Source organism: Homo sapiens, chromosome 11 (genome assembly GCF_000001405.40).
Source record: "Homo sapiens chromosome 11, GRCh38.p14 Primary Assembly".
Classification (NCBI taxonomy): Eukaryota; Metazoa; Chordata; class Mammalia; order Primates; family Hominidae; genus Homo; species Homo sapiens.
In genome coordinates, this window is record NC_000011.10 from 9,571,798 (window position 1) to 9,590,150 (window position 18,353).

The window sequence follows — 18,353 nt, forward strand, 5'->3', positions numbered from 1 at the left end:
TAAATGTAAATTATCATTAAACCCATGACAACTGTTCAACAATATGAATCAAAACAACAAAACCACATCAACGAACATCCACTGATGTCCTGAATTCACAGAGTGTGCTCTAATCCACTGCTAGTGAGAATGTATTGTGTTTCTGGAGGGGGAGTTTGCCAGTTTATATCCTTTGACTGAGGAATTCTAACTCCAGGGAGGTATCCAAAAGAGTATTTTAAAAAGGCCAGGCGCGGTGGCTCACGCCTGTAATCCTAGCACTTTGGGAGGCCGAGGCGGGCAGATCACCTGAGGTCAGGAGTTTGAGACCAGCCTGCCAACATGGTGAAACTCCGTATTTTGCATTTTGTAAAAATACAAAAATTGGCCAGGCCTGGTATGTGCTTGTAATACCAGCTACCCGGGAGACAGGAGAATCGCTGGAACCCGAGAACCCGGGAGGTGGGGGCTGCAGTGAGCCGAGATCGCGCCACTGCACTCCAGCCTGGGGCGACAGAGCGAGACTCCGTGTCGAAAAAAACCAAACCAAACAAAAAACATGGAGAAGGAAGCATATACACCACGGGGTTGTTTACAACAGAAAACTGGAAGAGGCCGGGAGCGGTGGTTCACGTCTGTAATTCCAGCACTTTGAGAGGCCGAGGCGGGCGGATCACTTGAGATCAGGAGTTGGAGACCAGCCTGGCCAACATTGGGAAGTTCGTCTCTACTAAAAATACAAAAATTAGCCAGGTGTGGTGGCAGCCGCCTGTAATCCCAGCTACTCGGGTGGCTGAGGCATGAGAATCGCTTGAACTCTAAAGGCGGAGGTTGCAGGTTGTAGTGAGCCGAGATCGTGCCACTGCACTCCAGCCTGGGTGACAGAGCAAGACCCCGTCTCAGAAAAAAAAAAAAAAATAAATAAACAAAGAAAGAAAAAAGAAAACTGGAAGAAACGTGTAAGTGCATTAAGGGACAGATTAAATCAGTTTAACGAAGCACTAGGGAAATTTTTTAAAATTGCGTTTGAGTTTGCCGCGAGCCGGGCCAATCGGTTTTGCCAACGCATGCCCACGTGCTGGCGAACAAATGTAAACACGGAGATCGTGTGCCGGGCACTTGGTTTCGTGGTGGGCAACTGTGCTGCTGTTTCTTTTGGCCGCGGACAAGGTCGGCAGAGGTGGACCCCTGCTTGGGAGAGCTCTTCTCGCTGTGCTGACACCCGCCCCTAACAGTCACCCACCCCGGGGAAATAATGGGGCTCGGAGGCCTCCTCCCAGCCAGTGTCCAGCCTAAGCACATCGGCTCCCGCAGTTCAGAAAGGTCCCGAGGCCCGAGTCACCATTTCCGGCTCAGACCTCGACCCTGAACGTGGCTGCCCACTGCCACGCCCACTACGCCCCAGTGGCTCGCCCCAGGGGACGAGGGGCAAGAAGCGGCCTCCGAGGGCAGCGGCCGAAGGCCATTCGGTCCCTGGCTCTTCCCAGCTCGCAGAGACCCGGAGGCGCTGCCCGGCCGCCTGCCCCTCTTCAGATCCCCCAGCACCGGAGGAGCAGCGAGGGGGGTGCGTCCAGGCCGGCTTTCGGGTCGGCTTAGGCGAATCCAGCTCTCTTTTGCCCCTCCCAGAAGGCCCAGCCCCGTCCGGGCGGTGTTCGGGCGGCGCCGGGCCGGGCCCCCCGCCGCCCCAGGCTCGCTCATAGGCCCGGAACACCACAGCCCGCCCAGACTTGGCTGGCGCCGAGCCGGGGGTGGAGCCAGCGGGTTCCCGCCAAAATCGCGTAGCTGGTCCTTCCCCCGCGGGCTACGTCGCGCCCTCCTTTTTTTTTCAAACCCGGAGCTGCACTGGGATTGGTGGACTGGGCACTCACGTGGTTAACGGTCGCGGGAAGCCGCGGAGCCCGAACCTGAGACTGGACCTGAGGAGACCTCAGCCTCGGTGCTCGGGCCGCCCCGCCTCTGCCGGAAAGTCCGCGCCGCCGCTGCCGCCACCGTCCGCAGCCCGAGCGCCCCGGAGCCGCAGGCCGCCGCCGCGCAGAGACGCCGCGGCTGCGACTAGGCGCGCCCAGCCGCACGTGGCGGACCCGCCCCCAGGCCCGCAGTGTCCTGGACCCCGCAGGCCTCCGCTCTCCTGTCCTCGGCCCCGTCCCCAGGGCCGCGATGAGCTTCCTGAGCCGACAGCAGCCGCCGCCACCCCGCCGCGCCGGGGCGGCCTGCACCTTGCGGCAGAAGCTGATCTTCTCGCCCTGCAGCGACTGTGAGGAGGAGGAAGAAGAGGAGGAGGAGGAGGGCAGCGGCCACAGCACCGGGGAGGACTCGGCCTTTCAAGAGCCCGACTCGCCGCTGCCGCCCGCGCGGAGCCCCACGGAGCCCGGGCCCGAGCGCCGCCGCTCGCCCGGGCCGGCCCCCGGCAGCCCCGGCGAGCTGGAGGAGGACCTGTTGCTGCCCGGCGCCTGCCCGGGCGCGGACGAGGCGGGCGGTGGGGCGGAGGGCGACTCGTGGGAGGAGGAGGGCTTCGGCTCCTCGTCGCCGGTCAAGTCGCCGGCGGCCCCCTACTTCCTGGGTAGCTCTTTCTCGCCGGTGCGCTGCGGCGGCCCAGGAGATGCGTCGCCGCGGGGTTGCGGGGCGCGCCGGGCGGGCGAAGGCCGCCGCTCGCCGCGGCCGGACCACCCGGGCACCCCGCCACACAAGACCTTCCGCAAGCTGCGACTCTTCGACACCCCGCACACGCCCAAGGTGAGAGCGGCGGGCGCGGGCACCCGGCGGCCGGGGCCGCGGCGCCGGAGGGGCCAGCGCCGCTGCCTGGGTTCGGTTACAGAAGCGGCCGGCCGCTCCCCCCTCGCTTTCCTGCGCCGCCCCCCAAAGTTGGCAGCCCTTGTGTTTGGCCCTGCCCCGAGGTTGTCCGTTGAGATTATGTAACTGAACAATGGGCCTCGTCTGGAACTTCATCTTACAAAGGGGCCGATCGGCCCGTCCGGGTGGCCAAGGATTTGCCGCCCGTTGAGTCCGGGCCGCCCCGAGCGTGTCAGCCCCGAGTGCGGCACCGATAACGCGGTTCGCGAGGATGCTGGAGGGTGCCGGCCCGGCCACCTGACACTCCCGAGCCATAGGATGCCTTTTAAACGCGGCGATCGGGCCTGTAATTTGGGCGGCGCGGGCAGAAGGAGTTTAAAGAAAAATAATTGTCCCGCCCTGATCGTGTCGTGTCGTGTGGCGTGGATGGGGGAAAGGTCTGGGGCATGCAGGGAGACTACGCTTGGACTTGGGAGTAAAGGCTGGCCTTCCAAGCATTTACAGTCCTACAGACTCATCCTAAGTCCAGGCAGTACTGAGGCCTGTTTCTGGACAAGGTCTTGGCCCAGCATTTGTTTTTATCGTGGGTTTGCGGTGCCCAGAGTTTGGCCGGCCTCCGTGTGATTAGGAACATCCTACCGTAGATAAGGTATCTTAAAGAAGGAGGTGTTCAGCACCTGTGTTTTGAAAGGCCTTCGAGTACTGCGCAGATGACCACTTTTAAAACTGCAGATTTTAAAGCTGATACTTCCAGAGATTAAGACAAGCCTCGCATTTGTAAGGTTAACAGGGAAGATGCACCTTTTAAAGTGAGTTTGTTTTGTTTTCAATGTACTGTTTGTCATCAGCCTAGGCAATCTGTGTGCTTTCGAGCTGTACTGTTTATTGGCCGACTTGCTCAAGGCAAAATCCCTCTGGAAGTGAGGGGAGGAGTCCAGCGGAGGTGGCTATGGAAGCCCTATCTAGATGGGGGAGGGGAGATTTTATGGGGCTCTCGGACTGCTTTCTATTTTTGGATGGGTTGAAAGAATTTGTTAACTTTTAGCCACTAGAATGAACTTAGTTTTAGGCAGCATTTATATTCTTTTTAGGGTTAGAGGCAGATTTTACTTGGCTATTTTTTTCAAGAAAAGATAGTTAATATCCAGCTTCAGTCTTCCTAAATTAGCCACAATTTATTTTGCTTGAACTCTAACAAAGGCTTGTGTGTTGCTTTCACCTACGCATTCAGCCCTATGAAAGGCTCGTTGAAGGTTAGGTTGAGAAGGCTGACTATAGGACTTGGATCCTAAAAATTGTATTTGTATTTTTCTTTCCCTAGAGTTTGCTCTCCAAAGCTCGGGGAATTGATTCCAGCTCTGTTAAACTCCGGGGTAGTTCTCTCTTCATGGATACAGAAAAATCAGGAAAAAGGGAATTTGATGTGCGACAGACTCCTCAAGTGAATATTAATCCTTTTACTCCGGATTCTTTGTTGCTTCATTCCTCAGGACAGTGTCGTCGTAGAAAGAGAACGTATTGGAATGAGTAAGTCGTTTATTTAACAGTTTGGTTCTCCAAATAACCTAAGATTGGTTTGGTATACTTATCAAAATTTAGTTCCTATTTAATGGCATGGATGTATCTGTCAGATATATTGATAGAAAAATAACATTTTTTTTAGTTCCTGTGGTGAAGACATGGAAGCCAGTGATTATGAGCTTGAAGATGAAACAAGACCTGCTAAGGTAAATAGCTTTTTATTTTTATTTTTTTGAAATTTACTTTTCTGCCACTTAAAGCATGCTATGAATATGTTAATAAGCATTAACACATAAGGTAGAATGGTTTTTAAATTTCACACATAGCCCTATCACCATAGCAAGAAATAACTGTTTTCGTATATTTGTATTACATATATGGAAACACTTTTTATTACAGAGAATTACAATTACTGAAAGCAATATGAAGTCCCGGTATACAACAGAATTTCATGAGCTAGAGAAAATCGGCTCTGGAGAATTTGGTTCTGTATTTAAGTGTGTGAAGAGGCTGGATGGATGCATTTATGCCATTAAGCGATCAAAAAAGCCATTGGCGGGCTCTGTTGATGAGTATGTATTAAACATTTTGTCTTTTGCTCTTTTGTCCCCTATGGTGTTACTAACATTAAGGTTTCAGCTGGTCAAACACTGAATTCCATCTCTAACTTTTGAGAAGCTGTAATGATTTAATCAGGTCCTTTTCACTTAATACCATCAGTTCTTATTGGACTTGTTGAATAATATGAGTCTGATTTTGGAACCTAACTTAAATTTCTTATTTCTAGTCAGCATCCATGAATTCACAGTAAAATGGAGTTTATTCTTACCTGAGTCCTAGGGCAAGCAACATTTCTTCTTTCTGATAAATCTTTAATGGAATCTGCCTTTGGAAAAATCTCTTACAAGTCTAAACCCCTTCTCTCTTAAGCAAGTTGCTTTTTAGCATAACAATAGATACCAAAAATTTATTGTATGAAGTTTCAGATAAATTAATTCAGTTTAAGCTTGAGTGAAAATTATTTACCATTCTATTAATCTCAAATTTCTTCTAGGCAGAACGCTTTGAGAGAAGTATATGCTCATGCAGTGCTTGGACAGCATTCTCATGTAGTTCGATATTTCTCTGCGTGGGCAGAAGATGATCATATGCTTATACAGAATGAATATTGTAATGGTGAGTGATGTAATGGTTTTCTTGTGAGCTTGAGAAAATGAACATCGAGGAAATATTTATGGTTATCTAAAATCTTGCTCTATTTCTGTCACTTTTATCTTTTATAAATTTAAAGATCAGAGACCTAACATAAATTTCAAGTACAAGGTTAAAAACCTTGTCCTTTCTGAAGCACCTTGTACATATCTCAGTAGTAGAACTTCGCATACTATTTATGTGCTTGTCGCTCCAACTGAGCTTTTTGACAAGACTATGGCCTCGACACATATATTTTGGTGTCCGTAGTACCTAGCGTAGTGTGTGAAGCATATAGTATTATGAAGTGTTAAGTTGAATAGATTCTTCCTGTGTCTGGTCTTTGATTTCCATTTCATGTGAGGTGCTGCTAAAACTGATGTTTGTTAGTCACTGAGTCTCTGTTGATCTAAATTCAGCTGTTTCTTTAAGCATTCTGTAGTCCGGCCCTACTCCCACGTATCCAACCTAGTCTACCCTAGAATCCACTAACGCTTTATTATGTTACATTCTTTTAGTTCTCTAGCTTGTCGTCTCTCCCTCCTCTCCCCTAAGGATGAAACAAAACAGGCATGTATAGATTCAAGTTTGGATGTCTTGTATAGCTTTCAGTTTCGGTAAGTCCTTCAAGGGCCGACTTATGTCTCTCCTTTTCTATTAAAAACCTTTACCAAAGTCTTGGTCAGAATTCTGGTTCTTATGGACGTCTGTCATTATTATATACCAAATCTTTTATGGATTATTTCTCAACACTTTTGTAGTTTATAAGTGTGATGATTGGGTTTTCATACTCAAGTGTGAAATGTGCCTCCCTCAAACCTTGTTACGACATCAGCACATTACCAGTCTGAAATGAAAAATATCTGTAGTTTGTTTCTATTTCTGTATATCTTCTGTGAATATAGACAATTTAGAGTTTAGTGAACACTTGAGAGGAGATAACAAAATTTATTTTTGTTGATTCTTATTATTCCTTAAATAAACAAGACCAGTTATCTCATAACTTGTAAATAAATAAGTGGTGTAGGTATGGATTCAGGTTCCCCATATTTAAAAACAGTGAACAAAACAGAAGTAAAAGATCCATTTTTCAAACCTGATTCCTCATTATTTAATAAAGTTCTCCACACTTGAAAGAACTTGAGTGTCTAGTATACAGCCTTGCTGCTAGTTTTTTTCACACAGCTCTTGAAATGTTTCTATTCATACCATCAAAATATTTATGTAACTATCACAACCTTATGGATTATTCTATTTCTTAACCTTCATTTTTCAGGTATTGCATTTAACCTAGAACAACTTGACCACAATGTCGTCTCCATTTGATATTTGTTAGACACCATCTCTTTTCAGTTTCCTTCTTTCTCTTTCTCACCTTCTTGATGTGAATAATTCTCTTAACAGAATAGTTCATTAGTAGTCCAGGAATGTCAAATATGTAGCAACCTACCAATACATGGTTGTGTAAATCAGATGATTCTGAGAAAACTCACGTGGGCCTGGGAGATAGGGAACTGAGTGAGTAGTCTTGCTACCCTCTCAGATTACAAAAACCTTGTCCTGTAATGTTAGATTATAAAATAATCTATTGAAAATAAGTTTTTATTTATTTATTTATTTATTTATTTATTTATTTATTTATTTTTGAGACAGAGCCTTGCTCTGTCGCCCAGGCTGGAGTGCAGTGGCGCAATCTCTGCTCACTGCAACCTTTGCCTCCAGGGTTCAAGCGATTCTCCTGCCTCAGCCTTTTGAGTAGCTGGGATTACAGATGCGCGCCACCACTCCCAGCTAATTTTTGTATTTTTAGTAGAGATGGGGTTTCACCATGTTGGCCAGGCTGGTCTTGAACCCTGACCTCGTGATCCACCTGCCTCGGCCTCTTAAAGCAATATAAAACTCTTGAAGAAAATAAATAGTCCTGCATGAAACAGGACTGCCTCTTTGTGTGGCTATTTGTCCTACTTAGATAAAAGAAAATACGACTATCTGGATGCATTTGTGATCTCTTTTGTTTCCTGTGTCCACCGTTCCTCTCTCCACATAAAGCTTTGAATATACCAATAGGGCTCATCTTCACATCTTTTCCACAGTTTCACTGGAAAAGGATTCTGATATTTATTTGTACATGAGTAACTGATTCCCTTTATTGTGATTTAATTTCCTTATTATCTTATTCATTTGCATTATAAGCCTTTTATCTTGGTTTGGTGATAGATTGGAATTAACCTGTATAAACAAGTGTAGAAAAATATTGATGGATAGGGAAAGAGAACCTGAAATGTCAGAACCTGTTTTGCTCTCATCACCTTTCTTGCCCTTCTAGCAATAAGAGAAGAAATGGGCACAGCTATGGTTGCTGGACCTGCTAAAAAAGAGAATTAGCCATATTCTTTCTTAGCACATTTGATCTAGGACTTAGCCTATCTTGTCTGACAGCGTTATTGGTTTGCTCCCTTCTAGAGCACTCTTTCCCCTCCCTCAGTTCAAGATTTGTACAAGTAAGGAGAACATACTTAAGACTAAGATACCGAGATGTATAATTTATTTTAAAAACACATTTGACGTTATGTTATTTTCTTATTTAAATTATAGGACCTCCTTTTCTGACTAATACATCATTGACCTTCCTAATTTTAGTACCCAGCTCTGATTTTTTTATTCCTAAGCCTTAAACAGGAGATATTTAAAACAATTCCTCATTGCCTTTGAGATGAAATACAAACTTTAAAAGTTTGAAAAAATATAAACAAATTAACTGATTGATTTAACTAATTCTATAAAAGCAGGTTATGGTCTCATTCATAGTAAGAGTAGTATAAATTATAACTATACTAAAATACTGTCTTTTTACCTATAACATTTATAGACTTGTCAAGGGTATGGGGAAACAGGTATGCTCATGCATTGACAATGGGCATATATATTGGTACAGCCTTCTCTGTGGAGAAGAGTGTGTGTGTGTGTGTGTGTGTGTGTGTAAAACACACCATCTCCATATATTACAAATGTGCATACCCTTTAACCCAGCAATTTGGCTTCTAGGTGATATACTAAATGTACGTGAAATTACCAATGTACAAGGTTATTTATTAGGCCATAGTATGTAATAGCAAAGGCTTGGAAATAATTTTAAAATGTCCATCAAATGAGGGACTGATAAATGCATTTCTTTCTTTCTTTCTTTTTTTTTTTTTTTTTCGGGGGACTGAGTCTCACTCTGCCACCAGGCTGGAGTGCAATGGCCCGATATCGGCTCACTGCAACCTCCGCCTCCCAGGTTCAAGCAATTCTCCTGCCTTCTGAGTAGCTGGGATTACAGGTGCACGCCACCACACCCAGCTAATTTTTGTATTTTTAGTAGAAACGGGGTTTCGCCATGTTGGCCTGCATGGTCTCGAACTCCTGACCTCGTGATCTACCTGCCTCGGCCTCCCATAGTGCTGGGATTACAGGCGTGAGCCACTGTGCCCAGCCAATAAATGCATTTCTACTCAATTATACAATGGAATTCTATAAAGACAAGAAGAAATGGGTTGTCTTTGTATATTGGTATAGAGTGATCTTTAAGATAATGAACATATGCTGTTATTTATGCAAAAAGTTGAAAAGAATACATAGACCTGAGCTGGGCGTGGTGGCAGTGCCTGTAGTCCCAGCTGCTTGGGAGTCTGAAGCAGGGAATTTGAATTTGGGTTTGGGAATTCTAGGCTGTAGTGCCGATCTATGTTGAGCATCTATGCCGATCTATGCCGATCTAAGTTGAGCATCAGTATGGTGACCTCTGTGGAGTGGGGCACCACCAGGTTGCCTAAAGAGGGGTAAACTGGCCTAAGTTGGAAACAGCACAAGTCAAAACTCCTATGCTGATAAGTAGTGGGATCAAGCCTGTGAATAGCCACTGGATTCCAGCTGGGCAACATAGATAGACCCTGTCTCTTATAAATTAAAAACAAAAACAAACAAAAAAAAAGCCAACCTGATAATACTGGTTTACTCTGAGAAAGAAACAGGTGGATTGCTGAGGTGTATGATTGAGAGAGAGACTTTACATTTTATTTTGTACCCATGCAAATGTATTACCTATTGAAAAAACAATAAAATTTTGATTTCACAAGCAGGTTGAAGGGAGAAGGTCCTATAAAATAACACTTTCTTGGTTGAGATTGGTTGGTTGAGACTCATTTGGTAAAGATGGAAGAAAGAAAATATTTCAGAAAGAAGAAAATGCTAATATTTTCTATCTTTGTTAGGTGGAAGTTTAGCTGATGCTATAAGTGAAAACTACAGAATCATGAGTTACTTTAAAGAAGCAGAGTTGAAGGATCTCCTTTTGCAAGTTGGCCGAGGCTTGAGGTATATTCATTCAATGTCTTTGGTTCACATGGATATAAAACCTAGTAAGTATTGCAGATCTTCTGACCTGTGTTCTTTGGGGTTATAGAGAATAAATTACTTCATTATGACAACATTGAAAAAATATATATCTTCTGTTTTCTCATTGTTAGTTTTAAAAGGCCTTAGATCCACTTACCAATATTGTTTTATGATTTCTATTCATCTCTTCCCTTGTTAATCCCCAAAATTTGAGATAAACTTTTTTGAGACAGTGTCTCATTCTGTGGCCCAGGCCGGAATGCAGTGGCACCATCTCCGCTCACTGCAACTTCCCCATCCCGTGCTCAAGCAGTCATCCCACCTCAGTCTTCCGAGTAGCCGGGACTATAGGCATGTGCCACCATGCCCAGATAAATTCATTTTTATTAAAAGCCAGAAATTTTTGCTGCATCTTACAGGAACTACAGGTGGGATACTAATGAGGGCACTAAAAATCTGTGTTTAAAGCCCCACTCTTCCACTAGGCCAGACCATATTAAAATTTCCCCAGTTGACTCAAGTCCTTAATAGTTGATTTGTTCAAATTAGTATCTACTTAAGGATCATGCATTGCATCTGGTTATATCAGTTTTTCTTTTTCAGAACCCATCCTCTGCTTTGTAAAAATAATATACACTTATCTTGCAAGCTATCCCTTTTTCTGGATTTGACTAGTTGCTTCTTGTATCATTTAGCTTGTTCCTTTTTCTCCTATATTTCCTATAAATTGGAAGTTATAACTAAGGATTATGGATTCAAGTTAAGCATCTTAGGCTAGATGAATTTAGTGAGGTTTTATTAATCTTTGGAAACCTGTTGATTTGTGAGAATTTCAGTCATTTTGTACAACTTTATGAGTTATATGCTAGAATTTCATATGCGTATGTTAACAAGTCACTAAAGTTTCTTCTTTCTTTTTTTCTTTTTTTGAGATGGAGTCTCGCTCTGTTGCCCAGGCTGGAGTGCAGTGGCACAGTCTCAGCTCTCTGTAACCTCTGCCTCCCACGTTCAAGCGATTCTCCTGCCTCCGCCTCCCGAGTAGCTGGGATTACAGGCATACACCACCATGCCCGGCTAATTTTTTGTATTTTTAGTAGAGACGGGTTTCACCATGTTGGCTAAGCTGGTCTTGAACTATTGACCTTGTGATCTGCCCACCATGGCCTCCCAAAGTGCTGAGATTACAGGCGTAAGCCACCGTGCCCAGCATGTTTTTTATTTTCAAAAGACAAAAATATATTTGGATTTAAGGCAGTAAATGTGAATTCTTAAGGAATAGCTGTACTCATATAAAGTGTTAGACAAATATAATAGACCCTTATAAGGTATAAAAGTTGAAAATATTAAGGGATGTGAAGTTTAAAAATCTTCAAATTTAGACCAGGTGCAGTGGCTGACGCCTGTAATCCCAGCACTCTGGCAGGCCAAGGCAGGCAGATCACGAGGCAGGAGTTCGAGACCAGCCTGGCCAATATGATGAAACCCCGTCTCTACTAAAATTACAAAAATTAGCCAGGTGTAGTGGTGCGCACCTATAGTCCTAGTTACTCGGGAGGCTGAGGCAGAAGAATTGCTTGAACCCGGGAGGCGGAGGTTGCAGTGAGCCGAGATTGCACCATTGCACTCCATCCTAGGCAACAAAGTGAGACTCCGTCTCAAAAAAAGAAAAAAAAAATTCGCCGGGCGTGGTGCCTCACGCCTGTAATCCCAGCACTTTGGGAGGCTGAGGCGGGTGGATTGCCTAAGCTTGGGAGTTCACCACCAGCCTGGACAACACGGTGAAACCTCGTCTCTACTAAAATACAAAAAATTAGCTGGGTGTGGTGGCAGGCACCTGTAGTCCCAGCTACTCTGGAGGCTGAGGCAGGAGAATTGCTTGAACCCGGGAGGAGGAAGTTGAAGTGAGCTGAGATCGCACCACTGCACTCCAGCCTGGGCGACAGAGCGAGACTGTCTCAAAAAAAAAAAAAAAAAACCTTCCAATTTACAAATACCATCACAAAATAAGTTGTCCTATAAAGAAAGTAAAACGTATAGATGACTCCAGTAAATGTAACATAAATTTAATACTAAATATTTGTGCGTGTGTGTGCGTGCACGCGCGCGCACACACACACACACACACACACACACACACACACACACACATATATATATATATATATATATATATATATATATATATATATATACTTTTTTTTTTCTTTTGAGACAGGGTCTTGCTCTGTTGCCCAGGCTGGAGTGCAGTAGTGCGATCTCGGCTCACTGCAACCTCTGCCTCCTGGGTTCAAGCGATTCTCCTGCCTCAGCCTCCCTAGTGGCTGGTATTACAGGCGTGCACCACCATGCCTAGTTAATTTTTGTATTTTTAGTAGAGATGGGGTTTTGTCATGCTGGCCATGCTGGTCTTGAACTTCTGACCTCAAGTGATCCGCCCACCTTGGCCTCCCAAAGTGCTGGGATTACAGGTGTGAGCCACCACTCCCGGCCTTATTTTTTAGAGATAGTCTCACTCTGTTGCCCAGGCTAGAATGCAGTGGTGCAATTATAGCTCACTGCAGCTTTGAATTCCTGGGCTCAAATGAACCTCCTGCCTCAGACTCACAAGTAGCTGGGACTACAGGCATGCACCACCATTCCCAGCTATTTTAATTTTTTTCTTTTTCTTTTTGTAGAGACAGGGTCTCACTATCTTGCCCAGGCTGGTCTCGAATTCCAAGTCTTAGGTAATCCTCCTACCTCAGCCTTTCAAAGCACTGGGATTACAGGCTTGAGCCACCATACCTGGCCAATACTATACTGATAAAACTATTAAAATAGAATCTGCCACTAAAAGCTCATGTTAATTATGATCTTACCTGAATTTGAAGAAAAAAGGTAATGTGTATACAATAGGAAATAGTGAATCACAAAGCCATATTGCAAGGTAGATGCTATATGGTCAGCCAGACTCACTGGCTAAATGACTCATTCTGCTCACACCAGCCTTATAGCGCTACATTAAAACTTGTGCTTTCACAGAATTTCACAAATTACTGATACTACCTTTTTTGCTGAAGGGTAATGTGCTAGAAGACAAGGGCCTCATCCAGTTTAAAGTGTTTAGGATCAGTGCTAGGCTGGAAAATATATTCCCAGAGGCCCAGAGTGGTGGCTCATGCCTGTAATCCCAGCACTTTGGGAGGCTGAAGCTGGAGGATCACTTGAGGCCAGGAGTTTGATCAGCCTGGCCAACATAGTGAAACCCCGTCTCTACTAAAAATATAAAAGTTAGCTAGATGTGGCATGTGCCTGTAGTCCCAGCTACTCAGGAGGTTGAATGAAGCATGAGAATTGCTTGAACCTTGTTGCAGTGAGCCAAGATCATGCCACTGCACTCCAGCTTGGGTGACAGAGCACACTGTCTCAAAAAAAAACAAAAAAAATTCCCAGCAACTATAACCCTGGTTTCTGTCCCCTGAGATGCTTATTCCATGGGTTTGGGCTAGAACTTGAGAATCGGCATTTTAAAAAGCATTATGGATGATTCTGGTATATGATCTTGTTTATGAACTCTGGTTTTATTATTATTAGTTTGGCTTACATAATTAACTGTTTGACAGGTAATATTTTCATATCTCGAACCTCAATCCCAAATGCTGCCTCTGAAGAAGGAGACGAAGATGATTGGGCATCCAACAAAGTTATGTTTAAAATAGGTAAGAAAGGTAATCAGATTATTACCTTCAGATAAAGAGAAGGCTGTTTTGTTTTTGCTCTTCACTGTAAGTTTTTCAATACTTCTAGGTGATCTTGGGCATGTAACAAGGATCTCCAGTCCACAAGTTGAAGAGGGCGATAGTCGTTTTCTTGCAAATGAAGTTTTACAGGAGGTAATTTTTCTTCTCCCTTAATCATAGTTTGCTTTGTAACACTTAGCAGTTGATAGAAGAATATAAATTCAGATATATTAAACTTTGAAGTTAACTAATAGAATGGAAATAAAATCTAAACCGTCATCTGAGGGCATTTAATAAGCAAAAAGTCATGAAGGCAAAGATTTATAATGGAGTTGTCGTAAAAAATATGTTCTCATACACCACTGGTGGAACTTTATAATGGCATATCCTTTTTGGAGATCAGAGTATTAGTATTGCATTAATATTTAAAAATCATGTACCCATTGACTCATAATTTTCACTTCTAGGAGTTTTTCCTATAGAACTATTCATATACAAATACAAGTTGAGAACAGTGTAAATAAGTGTTTACTAATAAGAGAATGATTAAGTAAATTATGGCACATAGTTATTAGTATGGCCTATAGTTTCAAAAGAGTGTGACAGTATTTCTTGATAAAAATTTTGAATGAAAATAGAATAAGTAGAAAAATATAAAGTGTAATTGTCTGATCCCATTGCTCTTTGTAAATATGTGTATATATATGTTTGCTTTATCACGTATATGTGTATTTGTAACTTGTCAGTGTGTTTCTACGTGTTTTGTGTTTGCATATGAATGCCTAGAGGTAGAGGGATTTCTTTTGAGAGTTGAATTGGGCTGTTGATAAAGAAGAGGCATTTACTCTTATCTATGTGTTTGCATTTTTCCCCCAAGAGTGTGTATTACTTTGTAATTTAAAAAATAAACATCCTCAAATTTAGCAGTTTATTCTCTGAATAGGTCCCAAACTTAAATGTGGTATTAGACACTTTGATTAAGTCCTATTTTTCACCTAAGTCATCTTTGAGGTGTAATCTTGTTTTATTTTGACCATGTTTACATTCCTTTAAAAAATTGTTTTAATTTTACAGAATTATACCCATCTACCAAAAGCAGATATTTTTGCGCTTGCCCTCACAGTGGTATGTGCTGCTGGTGCTGAACCTCTTCCGAGAAATGGAGATCAATGGCATGAAATCAGACAGGGTAGATTACCTCGGATACCACAAGTGCTTTCCCAAGAATTTACAGAGTTGCTAAAAGTGAGCATTTTATATATGAAGCCCTTTATTGACATGGTTCTATATTTTATTAAATGCATGTCTTTACCTTCATTTTACTTTTCTTTTTAAGGTTATGATTCATCCAGATCCAGAGAGAAGACCTTCAGCAATGGCACTGGTAAAGCATTCAGTATTGCTGTCCGCTTCTAGAAAGAGTGCAGAACAATTACGAATAGAATTGAATGCCGAAAAGTTCAAAAATTCACTTTTACAAAAGTAAGTGAGGGTTTTATGTTTTCTTTTTGCTTTTTCATTCACTTTAATTCTCAAATTTTAATGAGAGATGATTTAAGCTTTCTGTCAACAAAGGATGTAGTGGTTTTTTGTGTTTTTTGTTTTTTGAGACAGGGTCTCACTGTCATCAGGCTGGAGTGCACTGGTGCTATCATGACTCATTGCAACCTCCACCTCCTGGGCTCAAGCTATCCTCCCGTGTCAGCCTCCTGAGTAGCTGAGCCACAGATGCATGCCACAACACCCAGCTAATTTTTATATTTTTTGTAGAGATGGGGTTTTTGCCATGTTGCCCAGGCTGGTCTTGAACTCCTGGGCTCAAACCATCCACCTGTCTTGGCCTCCCAAAGTGCTGGGATTATAGGAGTGAGCCACCTCACCCGGCTCCAGTAGTTCGATATGTTGTTATACGGTGAAAGCTTGGGGACTTCTGCCATGAATTAGTATTTGGCCTATTAAATTTGTGTTGTTTCTAAACTTTCAAATTACGAACTTTAAAAATGTTGAGACTAACATATATTTGCAAGTGGTGATAGTCCCCAAGCCATAAATGGTAGTAAAAGCTAAGCGAGCCTATACCAATCTTTTCTTCCCAGACTCTCACCAAAAGTTAACGTTGTCCTTGAAACATTCTGTTCTTATTTTATGAAAGGATGAAATTAATGTCAATTTGGTTAGGAGATGATTCTCATATATATGTTTTTAATTTCTGGCTAAATCTTTATATACTGAATGAAGATTCTCATATTGGACTTAATGACTTGATATTTTCAAAAAGCTGGTTGCAATGGTAAAGGTTATTAAAAAGAGAATATTGGAGAATATTAAGTTACCACAGATCACATTTCTAATTCTTTTGATTTATTGCAGCCATTTTGCTTTTAACCTAATAAAACTGACTTGAAAAGGTTATGTTAACAATTAATATTAACATTTAATATTTAAATTATAAGAATTGTATATTAAGAGGTTTACTTGCCACTAGTTTGATATCCATCATAGTTCATACAAATAGGAAATAAAGTGTTCCTTTCATCTCTCTTATGTAAGGATAGATTCGCAATATAAATTGGAGTTTTTGAAATTATTATTTATTTTTAATTTTTTTTTTATTGGGGATAGGTTTGTCTGGAAATTGTTTATTATTATTTATTTAAAAAGATGGGGTCTTGCTCTGTCACCCAGGCTGGAGTGCAGTGGCACTATCATAGCTCACTGCAGCCTCAAACTCCTGGGCCCAAGCGATCCTCCAGCCTCAGCTTCCCGAGTAGCTGAGACTACAGGTGTGAGTCACCACATCCAGCTCAAATTATTTTATAAGAACCAAAGTCATTACTAGCATCTTTACTACTTGTTTTCAAGTATGTGTGATACTGTAATTCAAAAAGCATAAAATAAAATAATTTCATAAATTTAAGTTGTTTTAATAGAAGCTTCAGTTTCCTGTTTTATTTTTCAATTACATCTTAGAATAATGATGGCATGCAAATATCTCCCAATCGACAATATAGTTTGTGTTAGTTTCTTAGAATCTCTTCCTAGGAATAATACCTTGTTTTCTATTTTTATGTCAGAGAACTCAAGAAAGCACAGATGGCAAAAGCTGCAGCTGAGGAAAGAGCACTCTTCACTGACCGGATGGCCACTAGGTCCACCACCCAGAGTAATAGAACATCTCGACTTATTGGAAAGAAAATGAACCGCTCTGTCAGCCTTACTATATACTGAGCTACTCCTTTCCCACCTCCCCCTGAACACTGTGACAAGAGGAAGCTAGGTTGAAATCACTGATAGAATCCAGTTTGCAATTACTTTCTCGATTGGTGTCAGTAGTTTTACTGATTAGGACTTTTATTGTGAATTACAGTTGAAAGCTGTATTTTGATGATTGCTATGTCAGGCTTTCATCTAATCTTACCAGTCTGTCTTCTGTAGGATGTGTCACTGTTGGATGTTACACCAGCCTTTCCAGGGTTAACCACTGTGGTGGTGTGCTGCTTATAGTTTGCTGTTGCATTGTAATAAAAGGTGTCTTTCCCTGTAGTGACCTGTAAAAAGTACTCAAGGGCTTTATTACAGACATACCCTCCCTTTGAAAAGGGACATGCTAAAAGACTCATTACTACTCAGCCTTCAATGTACCTGTGTGTCCATCTTATATTTCTTTTTTTTTTAATTGTGAATTAGACTTGTATATCCCACTGGGAGCACTTTGTAGGCATTGCATGAACCATGGGATGATGATTCTGTGGAGGTATTGCCTTGTGAATTTGCTGCTATTTTAGTTTTGTCTTTGCTGTAAACTTGTAGCATTAAACAATCATTGTTGTTAATAGGTCTTCTTTTTGAAACAATTATGTGAAATGTATAGCTGCTTTTGATGAAAAGCAGCTATTTGCCTTTTTTTTTTTTTCCTTTGAACTTTGAAGCTAGTGCATTGGAAAAATGCACCCTTTCCCTCCTTTGGAATGCTGTATTAATGTAGTATAATAATTACTGGTTTTGTAACTTGTTCTGGTAATGTCCTTCCCGGACTCTTTTTAAATGTCTCCCCCTAAGTTTTATACTTGATTGTATTATTAGTCTGTTTTTAAATGTTTTGCCCGGTTTTTCTCTTCAATATTTGTGTATATAAACCGATCTTCGTGATACTGTACATAGCTGTTTGAAATGCCAGAATGACTTCTGACATTCCAAGTTTTTCACAAAATATATTTTATCTGTGATTAGCCATTTGACTAATAATACTGGCTAACAGATGTTGAAAAAAATTGTCTGTTTGTTTTCTCATTAATTTTGGTCTAAAACATGTTTGCACTTGTCTTTGACTTGTGTTTTATTAACATTGATTGGCATATTAAAAGTCACTCTGAGCTTACCTTAATTGTCTAAATCCTTGTGATGCCTGTTTTCTAATATTTTATCTCTATTATTGCTATACTATAAAATGTATAGTGTGTATAATGTACTATTATAAAAGCAGAGGGCACATTTTGATTGAATATGAATATCACATTGCATGTTATGCATGTGACTTGCTAGAAATGTAGCATGATGTAATTTAAAATATCTTCAAATTATTAAGTGAATATAATATGATTCATAACTTTCTGATTTGTACTGAGTCACAGAAAACTTTAAAGTGGGGAGGTTTTGTTTTTGTTTTTAAGATGGAGTCTTGCTCTGTTACCCAGGCTGGAGTACAGTGGCGCGATCTCGGCTCAATGCAACCTCCGCCCCCTGGGATCAAGCGATTCTCCTGCCTCAGCCTCCTGT

General features: G+C 42.2%; 1 protein-coding gene and 1 non-coding gene across 4 annotated transcripts, besides 5 other annotated features; both read left to right on the forward strand.

Moving 5' to 3' along the window:
- Positions 1,099-1,951: an enhancer, noted in NCBI's record as "NANOG-H3K27ac-H3K4me1 hESC enhancer chr11:9594443-9595295 (GRCh37/hg19 assembly coordinates)". NCBI's record gives its function as "activates a minimal SCP1, AML or CMV promoter by ChIP-STARR-seq in primed H9 embryonic stem cells {active_cell/tissue: H9 hESC(primed)}" and the evidence as "EXISTENCE:reporter gene assay evidence [ECO:0000049][PMID:30033119]".
- Positions 1,099-2,105: a biological region, named in NCBI's record as "NANOG-H3K27ac-H3K4me1 hESC enhancer GRCh37_chr11:9594443-9595295".
- Positions 1,526-1,875: a silencer, noted in NCBI's record as "silent region_3129". NCBI's record gives its function as "represses an Ori minimal core promoter by ATAC-STARR-seq in GM12878 lymphoblastoid cells {active_cell/tissue: GM12878}" and the evidence as "EXISTENCE:reporter gene assay evidence [ECO:0000049][PMID:35858748]".
- WEE1 (WEE1 G2 checkpoint kinase) lies at positions 1,873-18,188 on the forward strand. 3 transcript variants are annotated; one of them, NM_003390.4, is made up of 11 exons: positions 1,873-2,712; positions 4,091-4,296; positions 4,433-4,496; positions 4,690-4,862; positions 5,345-5,466; positions 9,735-9,881; positions 13,461-13,556; positions 13,645-13,730; positions 14,652-14,822; positions 14,914-15,059; positions 16,652-18,188. In NM_003390.4, the coding sequence occupies exons 1-11, from the start codon at positions 2,137-2,139 to the stop codon at positions 16,803-16,805; spliced, it is 1,941 nt and encodes a 646-aa protein (NP_003381.1). In that variant the 5' UTR covers positions 1,873-2,136; the 3' UTR covers positions 16,806-18,188. The 3 variants fall into 3 exon arrangements, with proteins under 3 accessions (NP_003381.1, NP_001137448.1, XP_047283495.1); NM_001143976.2 differs by lacking the exon at positions 1,873-2,712 and adding an exon at positions 2,890-3,578; XM_047427539.1 differs by lacking the exon at positions 1,873-2,712 and adding an exon at positions 3,696-3,712.
- Positions 1,896-2,105: a silencer, noted in NCBI's record as "silent region_3130". NCBI's record gives its function as "represses an Ori minimal core promoter by ATAC-STARR-seq in GM12878 lymphoblastoid cells {active_cell/tissue: GM12878}" and the evidence as "EXISTENCE:reporter gene assay evidence [ECO:0000049][PMID:35858748]".
- Positions 2,396-2,495: a silencer, noted in NCBI's record as "silent region_3131". NCBI's record gives its function as "represses an Ori minimal core promoter by ATAC-STARR-seq in GM12878 lymphoblastoid cells {active_cell/tissue: GM12878}" and the evidence as "EXISTENCE:reporter gene assay evidence [ECO:0000049][PMID:35858748]".
- Positions 6,231-6,334, forward strand: LOC124902827 (small nucleolar RNA U13). Its single transcript, XR_007063012.1, has one exon. It is a non-coding gene; the product is annotated as a small nucleolar RNA U13 (small nucleolar RNA).
- Positions 18,189-18,353: the final 165 nt, after the last annotated feature.

Coding starts and splice junctions, on each gene's coding strand:
- WEE1 (NM_003390.4), top strand. CDS start 2,137: ATGAGCTTCCTGAGCCGACAGCAGCCGCCGCCACCCCGCCGCGCCGGG. Junction 4,863..5,344: donor TTGGCGGGCTCTGTTGATGA/GTATGTATTAAA, acceptor AATTTCTTCTAG/GCAGAACGCTTTGAGAGAAG. Junction 5,467..9,734: donor ACAGAATGAATATTGTAATG/GTGAGTGATGTA, acceptor TATCTTTGTTAG/GTGGAAGTTTAGCTGATGCT.